This window comes from Homo sapiens, chromosome 4 (genome assembly GCF_000001405.40).
Source record: "Homo sapiens chromosome 4, GRCh38.p14 Primary Assembly".
Taxonomy (NCBI): Eukaryota; Metazoa; Chordata; class Mammalia; order Primates; family Hominidae; genus Homo; species Homo sapiens.
In genome coordinates this window covers 84,677,422-84,703,153 of record NC_000004.12, presented here as the reverse complement: position 1 = coordinate 84,703,153, position 25,732 = coordinate 84,677,422, and the positions used below count along the sequence as shown (strand labels likewise).

The 25,732-nt window shown below is 40.6% G+C and overlaps 1 protein-coding gene and 1 pseudogene across 27 annotated transcripts in view, besides 1 other annotated feature; both read left to right on the top strand.

The window, feature by feature from the left end:
- Positions 1–25,732, top strand: part of WDFY3 (WD repeat and FYVE domain containing 3) — a 297,094-nt gene that overhangs the window by 263,537 nt on the left and 7,825 nt on the right. For all 27 annotated transcript variants that reach the window (XM_011531759.3, XM_047449858.1, XM_011531763.4 and 24 more), the window contains 11 exons: positions 648–801; positions 6,331–6,422; positions 6,972–7,184; positions 10,122–10,269; positions 11,369–11,523; positions 12,490–12,648; positions 14,889–15,068; positions 19,029–19,211; positions 20,684–20,780; positions 23,912–24,235; positions 24,875–24,986. In XM_011531759.3, coding sequence (XP_011530061.1) covers positions 648–801; positions 6,331–6,422; positions 6,972–7,184; positions 10,122–10,269; positions 11,369–11,523; positions 12,490–12,648; positions 14,889–15,068; positions 19,029–19,211; positions 20,684–20,780; positions 23,912–24,235; positions 24,875–24,986 — 1,817 coding nt within the window. The remainder of the gene's footprint in view (positions 1–647; positions 802–6,330; positions 6,423–6,971; positions 7,185–10,121; positions 10,270–11,368; positions 11,524–12,489; positions 12,649–14,888; positions 15,069–19,028; positions 19,212–20,683; positions 20,781–23,911; positions 24,236–24,874; positions 24,987–25,732) is intronic.
- Positions 10,867–12,066: an enhancer, noted in NCBI's record as "CDK7 strongly-dependent group 2 enhancer chr4:85612241-85613440 (GRCh37/hg19 assembly coordinates)". NCBI's record gives its function as "activates an origin of replication core promoter dependent on BRD2, BRD4, P300/CBP, MED14 and CDK7 cofactors, with strong dependence on CDK7, by STARR-seq in HCT116 cells {active_cell/tissue: HCT116}" and the evidence as "EXISTENCE:reporter gene assay evidence [ECO:0000049][PMID:35650434]".
- Positions 15,154–15,429, top strand: RN7SL552P (RNA, 7SL, cytoplasmic 552, pseudogene; annotated as a pseudogene).

Sequence of the window (25,732 nt, the reverse complement as noted above, 5' to 3'; positions counted from 1 at the left end):
GGCATCATCAAACTATGGAAGAACTCATATTTCTTGTTTGTTTGGTTTTTTTTTTTTTTGAGACAGAGTCTCGCTATCCCCCAGGCTGGAGTGCAGTGGCACGATCTCGGCTCACTGCAGGCTCCGCCCCCTGGGGTTCATGCCATTCTCCTGCCTCAGCCTCCCAAGTAGCTGGGACTACAGGCGCCCGCCACCTCGCCAGGCTAATTTTTTGTATTTTTAGTAGAGACGGGGTTTCACCGTGTTAGCCAGGATGGTCTCGATCTCCTGACCTCGTGATCCGCCCGCCTCGGCCTCCGAAAGTGCTGGGATTACAGGCGTGAGCCGCCGCGCCCGGCCAGAACTCATATTTCTTACAGCCTTGTCCTCTCTTTAAAATCTACTATTTTTTGGATGACTTTTTAAAATCTTTACATTTGGATTTCAGTTTGATTATAAAAACAAATGCAGAGAGAACCCTCTGTAAGGATTACCCCAAAGAGAATTAGATGTTTTATGTTTATTAAAAATTTGTGCGTATTTAATGTAGGATAATGGGAAATTGAAATGTCACCAACTATAGTTGGAGTTTTCAAGCTCTTGAACTTGACAGAAGCTGTCAGGTGGGAACGGTTCTCTAATAGAGAGGTGTCTTATTCTGCCCACAGGGTGGCCACTTTGACCTGGCTGACCGGATGTTTCACAGTGTGCGCGAGGCCTGGTATTCAGCGTCAAAGCACAATATGGCAGATGTAAAAGAACTTATCCCAGAGTTCTTTTATTTACCAGAATTCCTGTTCAATTCCAACAACTTTGATCTAGGTACGTAGAGCTATGGCACTGTCTTAGGAATGTTAGCCAGGAAAAGTCCAATAGAAATAAGTCACTTCTCTGAAGATTGTCTGCAGCACACATTAACAAGAAAAAAATTTGATACAGTTTCTTGCAGTCATTTGCTGTAATTGGGTGTGGTTACATGTGATTTTTGTCGTTACAAAAATTAGCCAGACGTGGTGGTGGGCACCTGTAATCCCAGCTACTTAGGAGGCTGAGGCAGGAAAATTGCTTGAACCTGGGAGGTGGAGGTTGCAGTGAGCTGAGATCGTGAACTGCACGCCAGCCTGGGCAACAGAGCGAGACTCCGTCTCTAAATAAATAAATATTGAGACAGATTACTCCCAACATTTAGAATTTCGTTGTTTTGATGAAAACAGAGGTGAAAATTTATTGAAAAGTATTACTATTGAAACCCATTAATAGCTAAGAGTGGTACATCCAAATTTTCCATGTATTGTTTTAATCTTGTTTATTGCCTAATACATTCTCAGTTCATAGGCTAATGTGTTTTAAAATTAGAACTTCAGAATAACTTTAAGTAAACCCCTTTTCTTTATCCTGTAAGGACTCTATTTTCTAGAAAAACAGGACCAAATCAGCATTTATAAAAACAAGAAAAACTCCATCAGTGCTGTTTTTATATTATCTGGCTGTTAGAGGAAGTGGATTTGACTTTGGTTACAGTTTCTTGGAACACAGTTTGCTGATCTATGCTTCTGAGTATTTCTTTTAAAGCATATCAAAATTCCATTGTTTCCATGTGAGAATATTCCTGCCAGATATTTGTTGTTTTATATTTTTTTCATTCCTTGTATTTTCTACTGTTTTGTAAGAGTTAGCACATAAATTATAACTGTACTACCTCCAAATTTTCATGAACAGAAAATACAGGGAAGTGTTTGTATCCTATACATATGAAAGATATTTCTATTTGAAGTTTTCTAAAGATAATTTTTATGTATTTAATTGTCCATCAGCAACTCTACCTTTGTGAAATGGGAAAGATAACAAGGCTGTCTCCAGAGCCCCAGGAAAAGTCTGAAATTGATTTTCATTACCTGTAATTATGCCTAGAGCTCACCCTTGAGCAGCTAAAGACACAACTTTAGGACTTAGAATTAGAGAAAGTGATGGGTTTTCCCAAAAGAATAGAATAGTCAACGAGAACAATCAACAAATACCTGCTATAGCCTTTGACTGTGAATGCACATTAACATTTTCTTTTATTGAGACAGAGTCTTGCACTGTCGCCCAAGCTGGAGTGCAGTGGCATGATCTCTGTTCATCGCAACCTCCGCCTTACAGGTTCAAGCAATTCTCGTGCTGCAGCCTCCCAAGTAGCTGGGATTACATGCGCCACCACACCTGGCTAATTCTTTTTCAAATTTTTAGTAGAGACGGGGTTTCCCCATGTTGCCTAGGCTGGTCTGGAACTCCTGACCTCAAGTCATCTGCCCGTCTCAGCCAAGTGATCTGCCCGTCTCAGTGGTTACAGGCGTGAGCCACCACGCACAGCCACATTAGTGTTTTCTTATGTTCACTTATAATTCAACTTTGGAGAACGTTGCCTTCTTCCCCAGGGATACCACTGTCAAAGAGACAAATATGGAGAGGTGCAGAAAGAAAGAGATAGCTCATAATCTTCCAGAAACATCTATCACTTATGATAATCCATGTTGCAAAGGTGTTCCAGACCGACCACTTACAAACCCAACTAACCAATCTACTTTTAAAATAAGTAAATAAAAAAAGGAGGATGTATCTTTATCATGTTCACCCTCATAACAAATTATCTTCCCTCCTTGAAATAGCATACTTTAAAAAACAGTGGTTGGGCCAGGCATGGTGGCTCACACCTGTAATCCCAGCACTTTGGGAGGCCAAGGCAGGTGGATCACTTGAGCTCAGGTGTTCAAGACCAACCTGGGCAACATGGCAAAACCTCATCTCTACAAAAAATACAAAAATTAGCTGGGCGTGGTGATGTGCACCTGTAGTCCCAGCTACTCAGGAGGCTGAGGTGGGAGGATCACTTTACCCCAGGAGTTGAGGCTGCAGTGAGCCGTGTTCGTGCCACTGCACTCCAACCTGGGTGATAAAGTGACACCTTGTCTCCAAAACAAAACAAGACAAAACACTGTTTGTATATAAAACCTAAAATCATACGACTCTTATGAGAAAACATAGGGGTAAATCTTCATGATCTTGAATTTGGCAATATATTCTTAAATATGATATCAAAATTACAAGCAACAACAACAAAAGATAAATTGGATTTAATCAAAATTAGAAGTTTCTGCATCCAAGAATGTTACCAAGAAAATGAAAAGATGCCTATAGAATGGAAGAAAATATTTGCAAATAATATATCTAATAAGGATCTAGTATCCAGAATATAAACAACTTTTATAACTCAACAACAAAAAGACAAACAACCCAGTTGGAAAATGGGCAAAGGGCTTGAATAGACAATTTCCCAAATAAGTTATACAGATGGCCAGTAAACTCATGAAAAGATGCTGAACATCATTAGTCATTAGGGGAATGCAAATCAAAACCACAATGAGATACCACTTCATATTTACTAGGATGACCATAATGGGGTGGGGGGAACTGAAAAACAACAAGGGCTGGCAAAGGTATAGAAAAATTAGAACCCTCATACATTGCTGGTGGGAGCATAAAATGGTTTAGCCACTGTGGGAAGTAGTTTGGCAGTTCCTCAAAAAGTTAAACAGAATTACCATATGACCCAGCAGTTCCACTCCTTGGTATATAGAATTGAAAACGCAACTCAAGTAAGTATGTGTGTGAGCATGTTCATAGTAGCATTATTCACAATAACCGAATGGCAGAAACAGCCCAGATGTCTATCAAGTGATGAGTGGATAAACCAGTTGTAGCATATACATACAGTGAAATATTATTCATCCATGAAAGTGAATGAGGCACTAATAAACTCTACAATGTGATTGAACCTCAAAAACATTACGCAAAGTGAAAGAAGCCAGACAAAAACAGTCACATATTGTACATTTCCATTTATAGGAAATACTCAGAATAGGTAAGTCCACAGAGACAGGACACAGATTGGTGTTCTGGGGCTGGGTTGAAGGTAATACGGGCAGCTACTGATTAACAGGTACAAGATTACTTTGGTGGTGATAAAAATGCTTTGGGACTAGATAGAAATCGTGGTTGCGTAACATTGTGTCTGAACTAAATGCCACTGCATTGTTCCCTTTAAATGGCTGGCTTTATGTGAATTTCACCCCAATAGAAAAAAAAAAAAACAGTTTGCCTCTTCACACAGAAAAAATAGTAAATGGTGTAAAAGAAAACACACTTGGGGCTGGTCGCAGTGGCTCACGCCTGTAGTTCCAGGACTTTGGGAAGCTGAGGTGGGCAGATTGCTTGAGGCCAAGAATTCGAGACCAGCCTGGCTAACATGGTGAAAACTCATCTCCACTAAAAATACAAAAATTAGCTGGGCATCGTGGTGTGTGCCTGTAATCCCAGCTCCTCAGAAGGCTGAGGCACAAGACTCACCCGGGAGGCAGATGTTGCAGTGAGCCAAGATCATGCCACTGCACTCCAGCCTGGGCAACAGAGCAAGACTCTGTCTCAAAAGAAAAAAAGAAAGAAAGAAAAAGCACTTGGATTTTTTTTTCCCCTTGCTATGAGATAAGTAATATTCACCCTGGGGTCTTCTTGTCCATGCATCCTTGGATACACATGGAGGAGAGCTTCAGAATAGCAAAATTAAGGGCGGAGCACTGGCTCTTGCCTATAATTCAAGCACTTTGGGAGGCCAAGGTAGGAGCATCACTTGAGGCCAGGAGTTCAAGATTAGCCTGAGCAACAGAGCAAAACCTCGTCCCTTCAAAATAAAATAATTAGCCAGGCATGGTGGCACGTGCCTGTACGTGGGAGGCTGAGGTGGAAGGATCACTTGAGGCCAGGAGCTCAAGGCTGAAGTGAGCCATGATTATACCACTGCACTCCAGGCTGGACAGCAGAGCAAGACCCTGTCTCAAAAAAAAAAAATATATATATATATATTATATAGAATTAGACAAAGGCTTTCCTGCAGACTATGTTATCTTTATATGTCATTTTAAAATTGCATATAGTGTTCATAAAATAAAATTCTATCAAATAAGTATTCAAGGATTGTAGCAAAATTTGGAAAAGTAATTTCTATCTCAAGTAGCCTTTTTACCTGTTTATTATTACCAAAAAATTAGACCTAGTGGGCATTTCAGGGAGATTCAACAGACAGCGTGCAGTGTGTGTGGTTGAGGAGGAAGGGTTGTAATAACTTGATTTATTTTTGTTGTAAATCATATGGTAACCTTTCCAACCAAGTCAAGACATTCCTTTAAACAACAAACTGATATTTGTACCACTCGATATCACATTGTAAATAAACCATCGACTAGCAATGATAAAGGCAAGATTGTATCTAAGGGAGATATTTTATTCGCTTCCACTTGGAATTGGCTTTGTGTTCTAAAATTTGAACAACTGCATTTCTGTATGAAAATTTCCAGAACAAGTATTTATCTAACCAACTGCTATTAAACTAGTGAGTCAACATTGTTGTTTGTAGAGTCATTTTTACAATGATAATCTGATTTGTATCTATAAAAACTCTGTAAGCTAAAGTGACTTTTTTGGTATATTTCAAAAAGAAGAAAAACACCCTTTTTGTTTAGATGCAGCCAAATTTAATATATTTTGATGTGGATAGATTTCACAGTGAATGGTTTCTTTTATATTTTAGAAATTATCTTGGCTATCACTTAAAATAAGTTTATATGGAATAAATATTATTTATGTGCTTTATCACAACATGTTATTTTTTGTTTTTGACAGGTAGCCCTATAGTTTTTCCAAATATTTTTTCTGTTAAATGATGCAATAACAGCAAAAAGTTACGTCATTTCAGATTTTGCTTTTTAAATGAGAATGCTTACTGCAAAATACATGCCAGTTCTACAGAGCTCTTTTGAGAACCTAAGAGTCAGCGATATGAGAAACCTCTTGTATTACAGATATCTACAGTAGACTGTGTCCAGGAGATTCAAGACAGTAACCCTGCAAAATGTTTTGCTGAAAAGGAGTCTTGTGGTCAATTAAATTTCAGACATTTTGTGTTTGATATCCCTCTTAGAGAAGGGCAGTGCATGTTAGCATATTAAACCTCCGAGGAGTCCTGCGCTCAAGACTCTGCAGAAAGAAGCATGTTTCGCTTGGTATAACTCAGCATTTCCTGAAGACATTGGCAGTGAGGGCCTCAGTTTTGCTGACTTAGTAACTCTTTCTGCTGGAGTGATCTGAGGAGCAGTCTTGAGGGATGCTAGAGTTGATAATCTCTGAAGTCCTTTCTGGTGTACAATTTTAGCGTTCTGGTATTGAATCTAACCCACCATTTCTCAGTCAGATTAATATAAAGTTACCATTTATCCCATTCTTTCTTTTTTTTTATTTTTAATGTATCCAATTGCATAGGCTGTAAACAAAATGGCACCAAGCTTGGAGATGTTATCCTTCCACCCTGGGCAAAAGGGGACCCACGAGAATTCATCAGAGTCCATCGTGAGGTAATGGAAGTACATTTTACAATTGAAGTTGAATTTCATTTGGTCATTGAACATAATACAAAGACAGGGCCTCTAGCCAGAGTACCACCTGTTTGTTACTAATACAGCCAGGTCCCCTTATCTACAGGGGATACATCCCAAGAACCCCAGTTGATGCCTGAAACCAGGAATAGTACCAAACCCTATATATATATATAAACTATGTATTTTCCTATACATATATAGCTCTGATAAAGGTTAATTTATATATTAGGCATAGTAAGAGATTAAGAATAGTAATAAAATAGAACAATCATAACAACCTACTAAGAGCTATGTGAATGTGATCTCTGTCTCTCACTCTCATAAATATAATAATATTTTCAAACCATGGTTTACTGCAGGTAACTGAAACCTCAGAAAGTGAAACCACAAATAAGAGGGGAATACTATGTTGTTTTTATGATTTTTAGTTATTTTAGTTCCTATTAACCACTTACCAAGGTTTTTCTAGTCTCTGAGCAAGTAATAGAAGTCAGCCAGTGACTAAACCTATGTTTGAAATTACAGGCTTTGGAGTGTGATTACGTGAGTGCCCATCTACATGAGTGGATTGACTTAATCTTCGGTTATAAACAGCAAGGCCCTGCTGCAGTAGAAGCTGTAAATGTCTTCCATCATCTTTTTTATGAGGGTCAAGTGGATATCTACAACATCAATGACCCACTAAAGGAGACAGCCACAATTGGGTTCATTAATAACTTCGGTCAGATCCCTAAACAGGTATGGATGTTTTTTTCTTGTCATTGATGTACTCTGTTTCATTTTGTAACATTTCTCTAGATTGTAGATTACCACAAAATAATTAAGTTTAGATTAACTTAATAAAGAGCCATAAATATCACCTAGGATTTCAATAGATTCCTAGATTGTTGCTTTTTTCTCACTCTCACAGTCCAGATAAATAAAAATTTTTGTTTAAAGAGAATTATCCCTTACAGACTAATGCAGGGTATGCTTTCTTAAACCTCCATGAGATGTAACAGGAGGGGCCTTATAGGCCACATACACAGAGACAAGGTTTTGTCTGGAGGCCAGTGGGAAACCAGTGCTGATTTTAGGCAGAGAAATGACATGGTCATATTTAAACTTTAGAAGTTCATTCTGGCCTCAGTCAGAATAAACTACTCTATGCGTGCCTCTCTCTCTCTCTCTCTCTCTCTCTCTCTCTCTCTCTCTCTCTATCTCTCTCTGTCTCTGTGTGTGTGTGTCTGACACACACACACACACACACACACACACACGGGACCCAAATGGGGAGCGGAAGACCACTAAGAAAGCTATTGTGGTAGTTCAGAGAACAGATGATGATGGATTGGGTTAGATTGTTGACATAGGCCTAATAAGTGCTGTGCTGTGAGAGCACGTGCCATAGGAGTGCCTAGGACACGCAATAGCTGCCCTCACCACCTTCTGGAACTTGGAGAGGAAGACCAAGATCTAAGCCTCTCAGCACCCAGATACTGTAGGCCTGTTTCATGTTCAGTGATGAGCAAACCTCCATGAAGAGACCTCATCCCTTCTGTCATCCCCATTGTCCGAGGTATGGCAGGAGGGCTGGGTGCACCAGAAGTAACTGCAGCACTTCTCCACAGTGTGGAGAAGGCACACTTTGACGAGCTGGTGAGGCCACCCACCTTTACTAAGTACCAGTGGCTCATACTTTGATCCTGGCTACCTCCTCTTTTCCTGCTTTAGATGTCTCTACGGACTCCCTTTTTGTAGGTTAACTTGAGGTTTCCAGGGTTGACACTTGAGAACACACAAAACAATGGCTCATCTCTTTATATCTTTATATAGAAAAGCCATGATAGATAGCAGGACATGCTGTAACTGTACCATTTACAATGCAGTCTGATCCCCTAGCAATGTGATCCCCTAATAAAAGAAACATGTTTACTTTTATTTTTATTTATTTTTATTTTATAGAGATAGAGTCTCACTATGTTGCCCAGGCTGGTCTTGAACTCCTAGACTCAAGCAGTCCTCACACCTCAGCTACCAAAGTGCTGGGATTACAGGCATGAGCTACGGCGCCTGGCTGTGTTTACTTTTAAAGCAAAATGCTTGCTGATAAATTATTCACAGTTGAAGAATATTAGCTATACCTTTATTTAGTTAACTTTTTTCTTTTTCCTGAGAGTTACAAGGGCTGGAGCCATCTTTCATACCCTAGGGGAAATACATATTCTGAACATAAAAATCAAGACACTTGCACTGTTGCAGGATTTTTGTGCTACTTTGAAGTAGAAGAGGCCAGAAGTCTGGGAAGTATCGTTTGGATGCCAACATATTTCTGGGACACACATTGAGTAATAGAGGGTACTTTCAAGTAAAGCCATCCTCAGAAATGTAGGTTTTATGGTCATCATCTCCATACATCATTATATACCCGCAGCCTGGCGCAGTGCTCTCTCCTTAGGTCCTCACGTAAAAGTGCTTCAGTAAATGCACATTCATGAAAGTGCTTTAAAACTATGTATCTTTATAGAAGCCTGATCTTATAGTCCTTTATGTAGATAAAATAGGAATAAAACATTTAAAGATTTGAGAGTCTGGAATGTGTATCTTCCTCTGCACAAAGAATTTTTTCTGTTTTTTTCCCTTGGAAACCCCAAATATCTAATTTACAAAGTGTGATGGTGTCGTATTTATCTTAAATCTCATTTCATTTAAAGTTTTTCAGATCTCCTCCTCAAATACTAGTTTTCCAACAGAAACTACTCTATGCCTGTCTCAAAGATTTACAATAATTGAAAAATAGTAATCTTAAATGTACTTTTTTTTTTTTTTTTTTGAGACGGAGTCTCGCTTTGTTGCCCCAGGCTGGAGTGCAGTGGCGCAATCTCGGCTCACTGCAACCTCCACCTCCTGGGTTCAAGCGATTCTCCTGCCTCACCCTCCCAAGTAGCTGGAACTACAGGCGTGTACCACCACGCCCAGCTAATTTTTGTATTTTTAGTAGAGACGGGTTTCGCCATATTGCCCAGGCTGGTCTCGAACTCCTGACCTCATGATCCGCCTGCCTCAGTCTCCCAAAGTGCTGGGATTACAGGCATGAGCCACCTCACCCAGCCATTAATATTTTTAATCCTGTAGAAATACAGAATGACGATGTAGCACATTTTTGTTTTCTTTTTTCCCTTTACAACATAGCAAAGCACAAAGAAGATGATAATATTCACACTTTCAGCAAATCAGTAGCACCTTTTTAGGACACCAAAATGATATTTCTAAATCACATAAAGGCCACATTGAAACCAGAAATAATCCAACTAGATAGAGTGTCTGCCTGCCTTCAATGGCACAGAATGGTATTAGGCTACTGAGAGTTAACTTTTGAATATCATTGGAAAATAATTGTCAATCAACTGTAGATTGACTTTCTTTGAGAAAGTTATTGTGAATTCAGCTTAGCATAGAACAAGACAATAGCCCATGCTTTAGTATCATAGTCCTGTCCCTGCTTATTCAGGTGTGAGTTCTCTGGCCACCTTCATAGCGTCTTTGAATCTCTTTCCTCGGGTGTAAAATGAGGATAATATAGTACCTAATAGTTCTTGTGAACCTTAATTGAAATAAGAACACAATGCCTGGCATATAAAAGGGCTTATAAGTGTTATCTTTCATTATAAAGTGAGTCATCTTCTTTCATACCAGTTATTTAAAAAACCTCATCCACCAAAGCGAGTGAGAAGTCGACTCAATGGAGACAATGCAGGAATCTCTGTCCTACCAGGATCTACAAGTGACAAGATCTTTTTTCATCATCTAGACAACTTGAGGCCTTCTCTAACACCTGTAAAAGGTAAAATAATGAGAAATAAACTTTTGATTAATGATTTAATGGGATTGTTAATAATCCCAGTTTAACAATAACAAATTTGCTTTTTGACGATAGCATAATTTGTTTAATAAGTGCCATACATTTTGTGTTAGATTACTAAATACCTACTAGTATTTATATTTTCTCTTTTTGCTTTTTTTTCTCTGTTTTCTTTTTTTGGCTTGTTGGACTTCATATCAGAAAGAACCAAACAGTCTTCTCTCTCCTCTTTAAGATAATCAAAGCTCTAAAATACCAAAACCTTGTAAATTCAACTTTATAGATAAAAAAAATTTGTCTTCATAATTTCATTCTCATTTAAATATATTCTGCCTATCCGATATATTAGTAAAAGAACACATTTTTAGTATGCCAATGAAAAGACATCTGTGTTTTATCTAATGGTATAATGGGATATCTAAAAATATTTTTTCAAGTAGGTTTTTTCCCCTTAGAATGAAAAAAAAAAAGTTCTGCAAAATCTTGAAGTTGTCGCTTAAAAATATCCAAGAATTGGAACAAAATCTGGTTAACTTGTGTGCCATTCTATGCCATTTGTCCTCATTACACAGACTCTGCTCTGTGCCAGCGTCAGTCACTGTTGGCGATTCTTCTGGAGTAGTAATATGGTCATCAGAGTGCTGGTGTGGAGCAAGGAGTCCGTTCCTCTGGGGAATGACATGACCTTCCTTGAGGAAGTCTAAGGTCTGGCTATAACTTGGGAGGTACTAAAGACATAGGTTTGTTGATAATCTGTGTCCCTATGACATTCTGGGGAGCATCCCAGATTACTCTGTACAACCCTAGGGAGGCAAACCTGAATGGTAGTACCCAAACCAGAGAGTGCCCAGAAATAGGAAAGCTGGAGGAAAGTCCTGCAGAGGCCCTGTTAGGTTGAACATTCCACCCAGCAGGTCTTGTAGGAGATTCAAAAGCCCAGCTCTATTTCAGAGATCATTTTTTCTCAACGTAGGTATCAGGATGCTTGATTTATATGAATATTTGAAATTATCATGCTCTATGAGATAATGACATTAGTTTTTCCTGTTCCTGTCCTAATACCATGATTTCTTTTTTCTAGAACTCAAAGAACCTGTAGGACAAATCGTATGTACAGATAAAGGTATTCTTGCGGTGGAACAGAATAAGGTTCTTATCCCACCAACCTGGAATAAAACTTTTGCTTGGGGCTATGCAGACCTCAGTTGCAGACTGGGAACCTATGAGTCAGACAAGGTTTGCATTATTTCCTGCCTACTCATTTAATATTGCTCTTTTGTGGTCTGGCTATCCTATATGACTAATAGGGTTGGGGAGAACCCAGTCCAAGGGCTTGTCAGCTGTTCCTCCAAAGCCCAAAAGAAAAGTGAGCTTTCCTATTTGGGGAAAGGAGAGCTTCACTGAATGAGAGCAGGATAAAGGAGCTCATAGAGATGTCATGTTCCCTGCAGAACAAGCCTCTTTTGCAAAGTTGTGTAACAGGGGCTAGCAGTTTCCTTCTCACTCAAAGAATTCCTCCGAGAGATCCTAGCCAGCAAGGAGCTCAGCATTTCTGTCAACCAGAATAGCCTCCTTTTGATGAGTCACCATCTGCCCCACTTTTCATTTTAGTGCTCCAAACAAGCTGGCAGAAAACCTGTTGCTCCATCCCACAAGAAGCAACAGCAACTGTTTTGGGTCCCATAAGTACCTCTTGGAGAGACAATCCATAGTGATCCTTTAGTGCCCTGTGTTTGCCCTCCAACAGTCCCTTCCCAAATGCAAGACGAAAAGAATCTGCATAGTCTGTTATGTTGCTTTGTAACACGATTCCATTTTGTTGATGTTCTCCTTAGCAGCAGTCGTGCTCTCTTTTCACATTCTGTCTACAGCAAATGCATCCTTTTGCCACATTGTCCCCTGCACCTTCCATAGATCACACAATTTGAGCATCACTTTCCCAATCTGGAGAAACCAGAGACCCCCATTATGAGCAAAGTCCTTTTTGGTTATGGCTTTCAGCAGCAACAATAGTTTGGAGGCGGTAGGGGTAGTTCAGGGTAGAGATTCAGTGGATATGCTTCTGAACTAAAGCTAGCTCAGAACATGAGCCGCTATTTGCTGGTGAGGTGCCTGCACCTTCACTCAATTCTGCTCCTTGAGTTTCAGAAGTTTGTATAGTACTTAACGGCATGTGTGTCTCACATCCGTTTTACTTTATAGGCCATGACTGTTTATGAATGCTTGTCTGAGTGGGGCCAGATTCTCTGTGCAATCTGCCCCAACCCCAAGCTGGTCATCACGGGTGGAACAAGCACGGTTGTGTGTGTGTGGGAGATGGGCACCTCCAAAGAAAAGGCCAAGACCGTCACCCTCAAACAGGTAAGAGAGAACATAGAAAATGCCAAGAAGGACATAGTCCATCTCCTGTGCCTACACCCTGTAGGAAGTAAAAAGCTTCCTTAATTCTGAGGTACTTCAGATCTAATGGACAAAACCAAAGTGACGTTCTGTTGCTAGAAATACTTTTTTGAAAAAAAAAGGAAATCAGAATAGGTTGTTTCTAACAATGATCTAAGCCGGTCCCTTTGTTAAAATCTGAAGAAAGTTATCTTTAGGTAACATATATTTCAGTGTATTTAAGTAATATAAATGCAAAAGTCTAAATTGAATTTTTGCAAACTGAATTATGTTTGCTATTGACTCATATTAATTTCCTTCCAGGGTGATTTCCATTTATCTGCCACTAAATTCTTTATTTTTTGTTTCTCTCTTTTCTCATTTGTCATATACTTAAGGATATGCCAAACTCATGAATATATTCAGTAGAGCCCTTGATGATTTAATTAACGAGTATTTCTGATTGTCTATTACATACATGATTCTATTATTAATTTTTACTTAAAGCAAGAGTCCTTTTATAATTAAGCCATTTCTTAATATTTGATCTGTGAGAGAACTTACCATAAGGTATTTTTTAAATAAGGAGCATATATCTAAGTATTTTTAATGATATAAATTTGAAAAATAATGTAACAATACCACTTATCAATTATTGAGCACCTCTATTTCAGGGGACTGTGTTGAGTATTCTACAAATACAAAACTCTAGTCGACACAATTCTACAAGGTAGTTATTAGCCCCATTTTACCCCTGAAAAAGACACAGGTTAGAGTGGTCAAGACACAAGTCTAAAGTCACATGTAGCAGTAAAGCTATAATTTAAATTAAGTTCTGTCTGACTTCAAAGCTATTATAAAGCCAAACTCAAACAGTGGTGTCATAAATACCTATAGAAAAAAATTGAACCCCTGTTCAGTATAAAACTGAATCATCTGTATAGGCCAGAAACTTCACAGAGTTGCTGGGTCCTGAGGCAAGCCATATAAAGAGGGAGAAAGTCTTGAAGTGAACAGATTACAAGGTTAATAGTACATTTTGCTGATTCAAATTATGCTTAAAAATATTTTCCATTTAGAAAATGCACTTTGAAAGTAATGTGCCAGGAAAAAGGACTTCCTGCTTAAAATAGTTTCCTGGGGTTTGCTAAGCATGCAATAAAGATGTCTATATGACCAAAATTTTAAGCCAACTCTTTTTTTATATTATGCACACACACACATATATATACTTCATGTGTATACACAGATAGTTTTCTCTCTCAAAAGTATTAAAAAATTTATCAACCTTCAATCTGTAAAAAATACCTACTCTACATGATAGCAAAATCTCTCCTCCAAGTTTACACTGATTTACACCCAAGGCTTTCCCCAAATGTACAATAGGAGGCAACCTCTTACATTCTAGTGTGGAAGGCGGCAGATGAAGCCAACTCATTATTAAGCGGATATATTTTTCTGCCAGGGCAGATGGCCCATTCTAAGTACTTAGGAACTACTAACAGTAATCTAAATCTTTTTCTTCAGAATATTTACTTATTTTCACACATTGCCATTTCCTTGGGTCCTTTTTCTCTTCATATTCCAGCAAAAGAGGGAAGTTCTTTTTCTAGTTTAAAGAAAGAATTCCTCTCAGGCACAGATACTCAGATATCTCCGATTGGCAGCAGGACTTCAGCATGTTGACGCCTCAGGACTACATTCTCGCTTTGTCTATTGTAGACCACGTGCTACAGCCATGTGGTTCTCGCAGTTTATGCATTTTTTTAAAAAAAAATTCATTCAATTGTAATTCTTTAGAATGGTCTGAACAGGAGTTTGTGGCATAAAAGAATGGATATAGAGTTGAAATTCTGTATTTTTGATGCCCATAATCAATACATCTCTACATAAAAATGGTATAAAGAAACCCAAGCTGGGTTGTGGTTGTCATTCCCTCTTCCTTCTAAGATCCTGGCCCAACTCCAGGAAAGAACTAATGTGAAAGTAAAGAGCCTCCAGAGTGCTCCAGGCTTCTCTCTACCCCCGTGGGCTGAGGCAAGGGTAGTCAGCAGGAGGAGAAAGGAGGTCTGCCTTCCAGACTCTCCAGACACCACTGCTCAAGTCACCTACTACCTAGCATGCGTGCCACTGCTTCCTGATGCATCCAGGAGCTTCTGGAGTCACTGTGGAACCCTGTCACTGAGATCAACCTGATTTTGTTTGTTTGTTCTCATTCGTAGGCCTTACTGGGCCACACTGATACCGTCACCTGCGCCACAGCATCATTAGCCTATCACATAATTGTCAGTGGGTCCCGTGATCGAACCTGTATCATTTGGGATTTGAACAAACTGTCATTTCTAACCCAGCTTCGAGGGCATCGAGCTCCAGTTTCTGCTCTTTGTATCAATGAATTAACAGTAAGTAGTAAATTGCCCACTTATGTTTAGGTAAACAAGTAGTCTTGGCCAAACTCAATTAAAAATGGTGGGGCTCAGGGGAACATGTCTGAGTTGCAGCTGCTCAGGAGGCTACCGCAGGAGGATTAGTTGAGCCCAGGACTTCTGGGCTGTAGGCACTATACCCATCAGGTGTCTGCACTAAGGTCAGCACCGATTTGGTGACCTCCTGAAAGTCAGAGACCACCAAGTTGCCTAAGGAGGGGTGAACCAACTCAGGTTGGAAATGGAGCAGATCAAAATTCCCATGCTGATCAGTGGTGGGCTGTGCCTGTGATAGCCATTGCACTCCAGCCTGGGAAACAGCAAAACACTGTCTCTTAAAAAAATAAATAAATTTTTCTTCTAAAAAAATGACTCATTGTTTTTGAAGTTGATAGATACTCATTTTATAAAAGTTACTACCTTTTCTTTGATTTAGTGTTGTTTGAAAAGCAAATAGATGTTAAAGTTTGTAATCCAGAGAGCAGTTTTGTCTTAAAATCCATTCACTGCTCCATGCAGTAGAGAGAACAAAATTTGATTAAAATAAAACAAAGCTTTCTAGAATATGTTTTTTTAAAAAACAGGAAATTTGTAGGATTTGTTAAGAATGTTAGAAATTGGCCGGGCATGGTGGCTCATGCCTGTAATCCCAGCACTTTGGGAGGTCAGTGCAGGCGGATCATTTGAGGTCAGGAGTTCCAGACCAGCCTGGCCAACATGGTGAAACTCCGTCTCTACTAAAAATAAAAAAATTAGCCGGGCTGGTGGTGGGTGCCTTTAATCCCAGCTATTTGGGAGGATGAGGCAGGAGAACCGCTTGAACCCGGGAGGTGGAGATGGCAGTGAGCCAAGATCGCTCCACTGCACTCCAGCCTGGACAATAGAGTGAGACTCAGTCTCAAAAAAAAGAAGAAGAAGGTTAGAAATGTGTTGAAAATTTTAATAAATTATAGTCAGAGTATGGAAAGTAAAAAGGGTGACATTTGGGTACCCAAACAAGAGAAAAATTCTTATATAGCTATTTTCAAAACAGATCCAGAAGTTATCAAAAGATGCTGTTTTCAGAAATAAATAGTTCATATACAAATAAATGAAAGAAGTCAAATAAAATAAATGCCCTCATCTAGGATCCCTCTACACATACCAAGCCTACCTGAAGCAGACGAGGGGATTCATTGCTAAGATGGTCTTGAAACGGGAAGCTTGAGGGCAGGTTTACAGAGACTAAGGCCTCACAAGCTTATCGCGTTAGTAAGTTGATGATGTGTGTCGCATTAGCAAGTAGATAATGTGTGTCAGCATGTAGGTGATGCCCCATATACAAATCCGTCTTGGGAGTCGACAGGAACCCACCCAAGCCTCATCGCCTCTTAGCTATACATATCCATTGCCACCTTACCCTCACCCCTACCACAGGGCCATCCTTCATGACACAGAACAGTTCTAGCCATGTCATTGAGTGACATTCACACCATCACCTACACAGACAGCTTTCCTCTTGAAGGATGCTGCATCTTTGATTTCTACCAGAAGTTACTCAGTATTAACACTTTTAGTCAACTATCTTGTAGTCACTTATTAAAAAAGGAAAAAGAAAGGAATTCACTTACAGTTGTCAATCACTTAGAGTGTTTGATTAATAATGGCAGACGTACTCAGGTTGAGAATGAGTGGGGGACATGCAAGGGTAGAAGAGTCAAATTTGTTTTTGTTTTTGTTTTTTGGGGTTTTATTTATTTATTTATTTATTTATTTTGAGATGGAGTCTCGCTCTTTTGCCCAGGCCTGACTGCAGTGGTGCTATGTCGGCTCAATGCAAGCTCCACCTCCCGGGTTCACGCCATTCTCCGGCCTCAGCCTCCTGAGTAGCTGGGATTACAGGTGCCCACCACCGCGCCCAGCTGATTTTTTTGTATTTTTAGTAGAGACGGGGTTTCACCGTGTTAGCGAAGATGGTTTCGATCTCCTGACCTTGTGATCTGCCCGCCTCGGCCTCCAAATTTGTTTTTTCTGTCTGAAAGGTTTAAGAGGTTTTCAGAACAACACCTTGGGTTGGTCCTGCAAACATTTGAACCAAAAGAGCTTTACAAAAATGTGGGTGCTGTAGAACTGCTCTTATGCAGCAGTGTTGAGTCAGATGCTTAATCAATTATTTGGAGCACTTTGTTTTGGGGTTGTTCTTAACTTAAATACTGATAATTTTATTATATAGCCAGTTGTTATTTGAGCCAGTGTACACTAGTGGATTGCAATATTTGCTGCAAATACTACAAAAGCAGTGTTTTCTTTTTAAGATGCTTTTGTAATATCTTAATAAGTCATGAAAAGATTTCTATTTCTGTTGTGTTTCTCCAACCAATATCAAGCCTGCTTTACTTCAGTTTACACTTCAGGCCAAAGCCACTTTGCCTTTAATTCTTCTTATGTCTCTGCCCTCATAACAACAGGATTTACTCTAATAAACTCTAATTAAGGCCCCAGAGTAACTGAAGAAGGTCTTGCCCAGTGCAGAATGGAGCAATTTTCTCTTGCAGAGACTAAAGCCACTAATTAAAACTCAATTGCTGACACTTATAGTCAGAAATGGTTCAGTAACTGATACAGAAGCAGACACAACAGTGCTTTGCTAAGTATTGTTTTGGTTTGGGTTTTGGTTTATTTCTTGCCATTTTGGTAGAAGAAGAGCTAGGGGGTGGGAGGAGCAAGGAGCAGCAGTAGCAAGACCAGCACAGACGGTGCAGCACAGACTGTGGATGGAACAGGCCCAGTCCTCCTCCTCACCCTACCCCAGCCTCCTCCACCTTACCTTTTTATGTGTTGATGCTGCTTTGCAGCTTCTAGTTCTCCTCTGTTTTTGCTGACCATCTTAAGACTTATGTAGGTTCTTATATATCTCCTGAGGGTACTGAACTTTACCAGGTCTTTTCTAAAGGTAATACCCAGCATTGTGACAAACAGACTATCTTAGGAATGAAAGAGGCAGCACGGTATGGTATATAAGCTTTGGCGCTATAGAAAGCTGGCTTCAAATCTCTGATGATAAATAAGTTACTTAAATTCTTTGCCCCTCACTTTCATCCTTTACAGCAGGGCTAGTGATAATCTCACAAGGTTGCTGTGTTAACTAGAACATCTGAAGTCTCCACCCCAGTGACTGGCACACAGGAGATGCTTCAGAAAGCATCCTCCTTTCTTTAACTATAGTGGGTTGTGTTCTTACCAGGTTAGGTAGAGCCCAGCCTGGTAGAATTTAAGAAAATAGGTTGTTCTTTTCTATCTTTGGATCTCATAAAAACATAAGTTATCAGCTCAGGGAGTCTTGGTTTTTACTAAGTTTGCCAAGAAGTGACCCATTTACCAGTTTCCTTTTCTCCCCCCACATTCCCCCACCCCTATTTTGAATACAGATTTTAAAATAGGATATTACAGCATTACCAAGATTGTGCCTTTTGATTTACTGAAGAAACACAACTATATCTGGACTGAAAAATGCCTCTTCTACCCTGTGGTTTTAGTGGTTGGATTCATTTTGTAAAAGTGGAGGTGGATTCCTGCCTCTAGATGAAAGGCGTAATAGATTTTGTTAACAATGGGAGGAAGAAGAGTAGTTCTTCATCTCCTCAGATGACAGGGAGCTTTCTTGTGTCGCCAGACCTTGCTCAGCAGTGTGCCAGGGACGTGGACCTGCCCTTTGTCTCCATCCGTGGTCCCTTTGGCCACTGCATCCACTCAACTGTGAATTCTTAAAGAAGCCTCTGTTCGGAGTATTTTTTTTTAAGTCAGCAAGCACTGAATTTCAGGTTACCTAAGAAATTAGCCACTAGTCTTAGGACTGAAAGGCTTTCTGAGAACTAGGCCAGGGATTCAATTTGCTTCAGAAACCAGAAGGTAATTGGAAGGGAGCAAAGAGAATGACGTTTTTCTCTCTCTTCTCAGGGGGACATTGTGTCCTGCGCTGGCACATATATCCATGTGTGGAGCATCAATGGGAACCCTATCGTGAGTGTCAACACGTTCACAGGTAGGAGCCAGCAGATCATCTGCTGCTGCATGTCGGAGATGAACGAATGGGACACGCAGAACGTCATAGTGACAGGACACTCAGATGGAGTGGTTCGGGTAAGTGAACTGAGAGAAAAACTCATTAGGATATTTGTCATCCTAGTTTACCAGAAACTTGTAGCTAATTACAGGTTAAGAACACCTGAACAAGTTGTAATGTTTAGTGAACTCTCGCTCCAGCTCAGACAGGCCTTGGCCTCTGCGTTATCAGACATGAGGAACACTGGTGTCTTGGCCTCTTTTCTTCCTATTAAGTAGATCTGGTAGTGCTACTGGCCATTTGACAGCTTGACACAGTGAGGTCAGTCAAACATGATTCCCATGTCACACTGGGATTGCTCAACATGCGAACTGCAGAAGTACTGGGTTTTCAGCCTGTCAAATGGCTTCGTAGGGAAAACATAGTGAGCAGGGATAAGTCTCTTCCCTACAGAGAATCACAGTGCTGGAAAACACTTCGAGGATCCCCAGCTAGGATCCCAGATGACTGCACCTGAAGCCTAGATGTAGTTTATCCTTTTCTTAGGTTGCTATGTGCTGGGACTCTACAGAAAATAGAGGCAATGGAGTATTCACTTTTGTAGTCTGTTGAAGTATTTGAGTTTTTCTGTCTCAGGAGATTTTTCTTTGTGCTTGTTTTTCTTTAATTGTGCTCTTTGTAAAAGCAGAGAGCAGCTGATTACCACCCTCTTTAGTCAGAGTCACATGTTGAAAGACAGTGAAGCCATCAGTCCACTCCAATACCACACCCTGTACCTCACACGGTACACATCTGTGCACACACAAAAACTCACAAACACACACACCCTGGAGTCTGCTTCCTCGACAGTGGTATTTCACACTGCTCAATCTGTGAAGCAGCATAAAATAGCTCCCTAGCCAGGCACCTGGGGATTCTGTTTACTGTATGCCCTCTTGGAGATATATAATGTGTATTAGCATATGCAAGACTCTGAGAGGTTTTTGTAGGAAACAAAAAAGTTTACTTAGTTGAACTATGTTTTTGTTTTGTTTTTGAGACAGAGTGAGTTGCTCTGTCGCCCAGGCTGGAGTGTAGTGGTGCAATCTCGGCTTACTGAAACCTCTGCCTCCCAGGTTCAAGCAATTCTCCTGCATCAGCCTCCCAAGTAGCTGGAATTACAAGCATGCACTGCTATGCCCGGCTAATTTTTGTACTTCTAGTAGAGACAGGGTTTCACCATGTTGACCTGGCTGGTCTCAAACTCCTGACCTCAAATGATCCGCCCATCTTGGCTTCCCAAAGTGCTGGGATTATAGGCAGCACTACACCTGGCCTGAACCATGTTTTTAAACTAATATGACTATAATCTTTTTCCCTGTACTTTGAAACAGCCATTGTGTGCAGGCAGCCCGCTGCCACATCTTCCAAGATACGGGAAATCTAACTGTATAACATGATGGAAATTAAGTTATCTGTTAACCCTGACAGTCTCTCTTCATTGAGTAATGTAAATTGGTTCCTTAATCTGTTTCTTAACTTTTTAATTTTTGTACTTATTTAAATTTAGTTTTGGAGAATGGAATTTTTGCAAGTTCCTGAAACACCAGCTCCTGAGCCTGCTGAAGTCCTAGAAATGCAGGAAGACTGTCCAGAAGCACAAATAGGTATTTAATACTTTCTAAAAATGACTCAAATCGTTTTCATATTTCTTTTAAGTCACTGTGGATAAGCTTATACCAAACAACATAAAGAGGAGCCCAAGGTTGGGCACTGCTTGGAGAAGCATGGTTGCTGCCTGTTGTGTGATTCCTTTGAGCAGACATGCAAGGTTTTCTCTACTTCACTGGGCAACATTCAGTGTAGTGGTGTCTTGTGGTTAACTTCCACATTCCATACTAAATATAGCACTTACTTCCTAGAGTACCAAAGGCTTTGGCTTTCACTTCTGAAAACACACAACAGACCTAGAGGGCGTGCTGTTGTATAAGTCAGACAAGCCCTGCTGCACCCCAGCCCCACATTTGTTCTGCCCACCATGGGGCTGGCTCAGTGTGGACAACAGATACAATTGTGTTTGTAAACAATTAACAGAGGCAGACCAGAGTCCACAGTCAGACTTGCTTACATTGGGGCATTAATTCACACTGAAGCCTGGTTACCTATAGTCCATTATTTGTGAAGCAATTTAAAATTTTTCAGTGAAATATAGAGATAATTGATTTCTACCCAGAATAACTGAAAGCAATGCCATAATGCCAGGGTGAGATCTGCTTTGCATTGCAGTCACTGAAGAAGCCGCCCCCTTTGATGTAGAACAGTGGAACTTCCTGGAAAGGAACTTCCTGGAAAGGAACAAGGTTTGAAGTTTGACCTTCAGATTGTTTCTCCATGATTGGCTTTTGTGCACTGAGAATTCAGTGTGACTTTGATGATGTGAGAGAGTTAATAAAGGAAACTTAGCAAAAGGACACAAGTCACTTCTCTATATAAGCTGAAAGTAGCTTTTACTTTCCATGCCAGAGAAGAAAAAAGATCCCTTGGGCAGGACATTTTAATGTTGGTGTTATATTAGTACATGTAAATTTCTAATTACAGCCCCACCAAAAAGGTCATCTGGGTGTTTGGGGACATAAAAATTCAGTTTAATTCAATAAGTGTTTGGGGGTTACCTGTTATATGTCAGATATTGAATTAAGGGAACCAATGAAAAGTGGGTCATTTTCCTTTCCCTTAAAAAGCTTTTAAGTAAATAACAGTGGAAGAGGAGATGAATGAGTGAGATAGAAGGGGTCAAATTCAGGGTGGAAAGATATTTGTATGTCTTTATTGTGGGTAGTCTGGCAGAAGTGGCAGGGAGAACAGCCCACAGGAAGGATTGAACAATGTAGAAGTGGTGAGATTTGTGGGCACTTGCTGGGGTGAAATGTAAACAAGCTAGTGGTTCACTGGAAATTAAAGCCGCTTCCAAAGCTGCTTGTTTGCGGACCTCAGAGCTCACGATCATAAGCCGTTGGGGTGAAAACTTCATTCACATTAGTCCAATAGCCCCCTACTGAGTAGGAAGCAGGCAAATAAAGTATTTGTCTTGCTAAGAAAATAACTTTGGTGGGCTCAGTATCCTCAGGAGTTGGTTCTAAGACCTCCTTTTGATACCAAAATCTGAGAATGCTCAAGTCCCTGATATAAAATGGTGTATGTAGTATTTGCATAAAACCTACTAACACCCTCCTGTATACCTTAAATCATCTCCAGATTACTACCAATACAATGTAAATGCTGTGTAAATAGTTGCGATATTGTATTGTTTAGGGACTAATGACAAGGAAAAAAATTCTGCACATGTTCATTTGCAGACACAGTTTATTTCCCCAAATATTTTCCATCTGAGATTAATTGAATCCATGGATGTGGAACCCACAGAAATGGAGGGCCAGGTATACTTGTTTCTTATACATTTTCCCTCCAGTAGACTTTATTGCAAGAGAGTAGAGAGTTGATGTGAAGAAATGCAAAATAACAGTGAAAAGAGGAAGAAGAACAAAATTCCAAAGTAAGGCTTTCATAGAATAATTCACTAATCTTTAGCCAGATGTTGTGGCATGCACGTGTGGTCCCAGCTACTCAGAAGGCTGAGGCGGGCAGATTCCCTGGGCTCAGGAGGTTGAGGCTGCAGTGAGCTATGATCGCTCCACTACACTCCAGCCTGGGTGATAGAGCAAGATCCATGTATGTAAAAATAAATACATAAATAAAAATTAAAAATAAGGTAATTCACTAATCTTTGAGTCATTAACCACTATATGCAATGGCCCTTTTCTCTACCATCTTGTAGAAAGAATATCCAAAAATAGCTGGGTGTGGTGGCCCACGCCTGTAATCCTAGCACCTTCGGATGCCAAAGTGGGTGGATCATGAGGTCAGGAGTTCAAGACCAGCCTGGCCAACATAGTGAAACCCCGTCTCTACTAAAAATACAAAAATTAGCCAGGTGTGGTGGTGGGTGCCTGTAGTCCTAGCTACTTCCAAGGCTGAGGCAGGAGAATCGCTTGAACCCAGGAGGCAAAGGTTGCAATGAGCCAAGATCATGCCACTGCACTCCAGCCTGGGTGACACAGCAAGATTCTGTCTCAAAAAATACATACATACATATATATATATATATACACACGTACGTGTGTGTGTGTGTGTGTGTGTGTATATATATATATATATATATGAAGAATATCCAAAAGTAATCATTTAGAATGATAATTTCAAGAACTCAGGAGGCACAGAACTGTTAAAGGAGTCCAGAAAAGGGGGAGAATACTTTGAGCTGAAGGAATTGGGTGATTCAGAGACAAGAATGTTTAAGCTGTCCCTTGAAAGCTAGGTGACATCGGAACCCACAGAGATTGGAAAGATGGGTCTAGGCGGCACCAGCAGCATGTGAAGAAGCTCACCTTTGGAGGAGCAGGTCTGCAGGGAGAGAGCTGGAGTGACACCATCTAGCTGCAGCACAGCAGGGAGTGTGCGGCAAAGGCAGATTCTGGCCAGATTGTGAGAGATTGAATTCCAAGCTAAGGATTTTGGCCAAAGTTTTTAATAAACTCTTTCAGAAATTCGACTTTTTTATTTCTTTGCTCTCTGTACTCTAGCCAAAAATCCTGGCACTTACTTTCTTTTTTGTTACACTTAGCTTAAAATATTATGTCTATAGAGGCTTATAACTGGGAGAAAAAAAATACTAGCAGAACAAAGCTGGGTGTAACTTTGATGGTTCCGTATGTTCCAATTCTCTCAATGCTTCACCCAGGGCAGGAAGCCCAAGACGAGGACAGCAGTGATTCAGAAGCAGATGAGCAGAGCATCAGCCAGGACCCTAAGGACACTCCAAGCCAACCCAGCAGCACCAGCCACAGGCCCCGGGCAGCCTCCTGCCGCGCAACAGCCGCCTGGTGTACTGACAGTGGCTCTGACGACTCCAGACGCTGGTCCGACCAGCTCAGTCTAGATGAGAAAGACGGCTTCATATTTGTGAACTATTCAGAGGGCCAGACCAGAGCCCATCTGCAGGGCCCCCTTAGCCACCCCCACCCCAATCCCATTGAGGTGCGGAATTACAGCAGATTGAAACCTGGTAACTTGAAGTCTGGTATCTATTTCTCACTCCTTATATGTGGTGTGAGGGTTGGTGGATTGAGGCAGTGGGGTCTAGCTCTCCCTGGGCCCCACCCTGGATGTGCCCCGTGAGCTGGGCCACTCACACAGAATGCCTCTTTACACAGAAGGCCTCTTCAGTTTCTTCTAGTGTAAAGTGGACTTAAAAATTCTATCCTACGATGGTGTTTGCAATATGCTGGGCATCTTTTAAAGAAAAATACCTCAAACTAGAAACTGTATTTATTCACAACTCATTAAATCACAGAAGCTAATTAAAAATGAATAAATAAAACTGCATTTGCAGGTAACTTTGCCCAGAATAGAGTTAGAGGCAAGGTCCTCAATTGGAGAAATTGGATGCATCTGCTTGCATTGAAAATTTCTCCTTCTCATTAGTTTGTCTCCTTCAACGAGATGTTTCTCCAGCCTGGCCCATGTTAATGTCAAGCTAGGTAGCTTTACTTTCAACCAAGGCAGCAGCTGCCGAGAACTGGAAAAGCTGCTGTAGCTGTATGTTGAGGTACCCTAAGTTTAAGGCCACCATCTTAGAGTAGTTCTCCCCAGTATTGGCTTCTCTCAGTTGAGTTATGTTGTGTCCTCCACTTCTCCATTCCAGGGTACCGATGGGAACGGCAGCTGGTGTTCAGGAGTAAGCTGACTATGCACACAGCCTTTGATCGAAAGGACAATGCACACCCAGCTGAGGTCACTGCCTTGGGCATCTCCAAGTAAGTGTCAGGCTTTTTCCAGCTCCGCTTCCCATCTGAGTCATTTGGTTAGCCAAGGGCCACATACTCCAGCCCAGTCTTTGGGGAAAACAGATTTTATTTGTATTATCGTATGTAGCTCAAAGAGATAAATTTGAAGAAGAACCCTGTTAGTGTGTGGATATTTTTCTTTTCTTTTTCTTTTTTTTTTTTTTTTTTTTTTTTTTGAGACAGGGTCTTGTTCTGTCACTTAGGCTAGAGTCAGGGGCACAATCACAGCTCACTGCAGCCTCAACCTCCCAGGCTCAAGCAGTTCTCCCACCTCTGCCCCTCAAATAACTGGGACTATAGGCGTGCACCATCACACCCGGCTAATTTTTGTATTTTTTATAGAGACGGGGTTTTACCGTGTTGCCCAGGCTGGTCTCAAACTCCTGGCTTCAAGTGATCCGCCCACCTCGGCCTCCCAAAGTACTGGGATTACAGGTGTGAGCCACCATGCCCATACACTGGATTTAAATTCTGAATTTTTTAAAAAGTGAAAAACTGCTTTTTCTGTTCTTCAAAGATACAGCAAGGGTGATCCAAAGAAAATTGAAATGGAAGTGTAAATTTGGGCTCGGTTCAGTTTTTGTCTGTTTACACATACATCTCTGAGTGAATCAAGGGGTCTCTCCAGGACCCTTACCAGCCCCGACCTCAAAACACACATCCACCAAAATCCAGAGAGCCTCAAGAAGGAGATCACAGAAGCCTTCCGTGCAGTG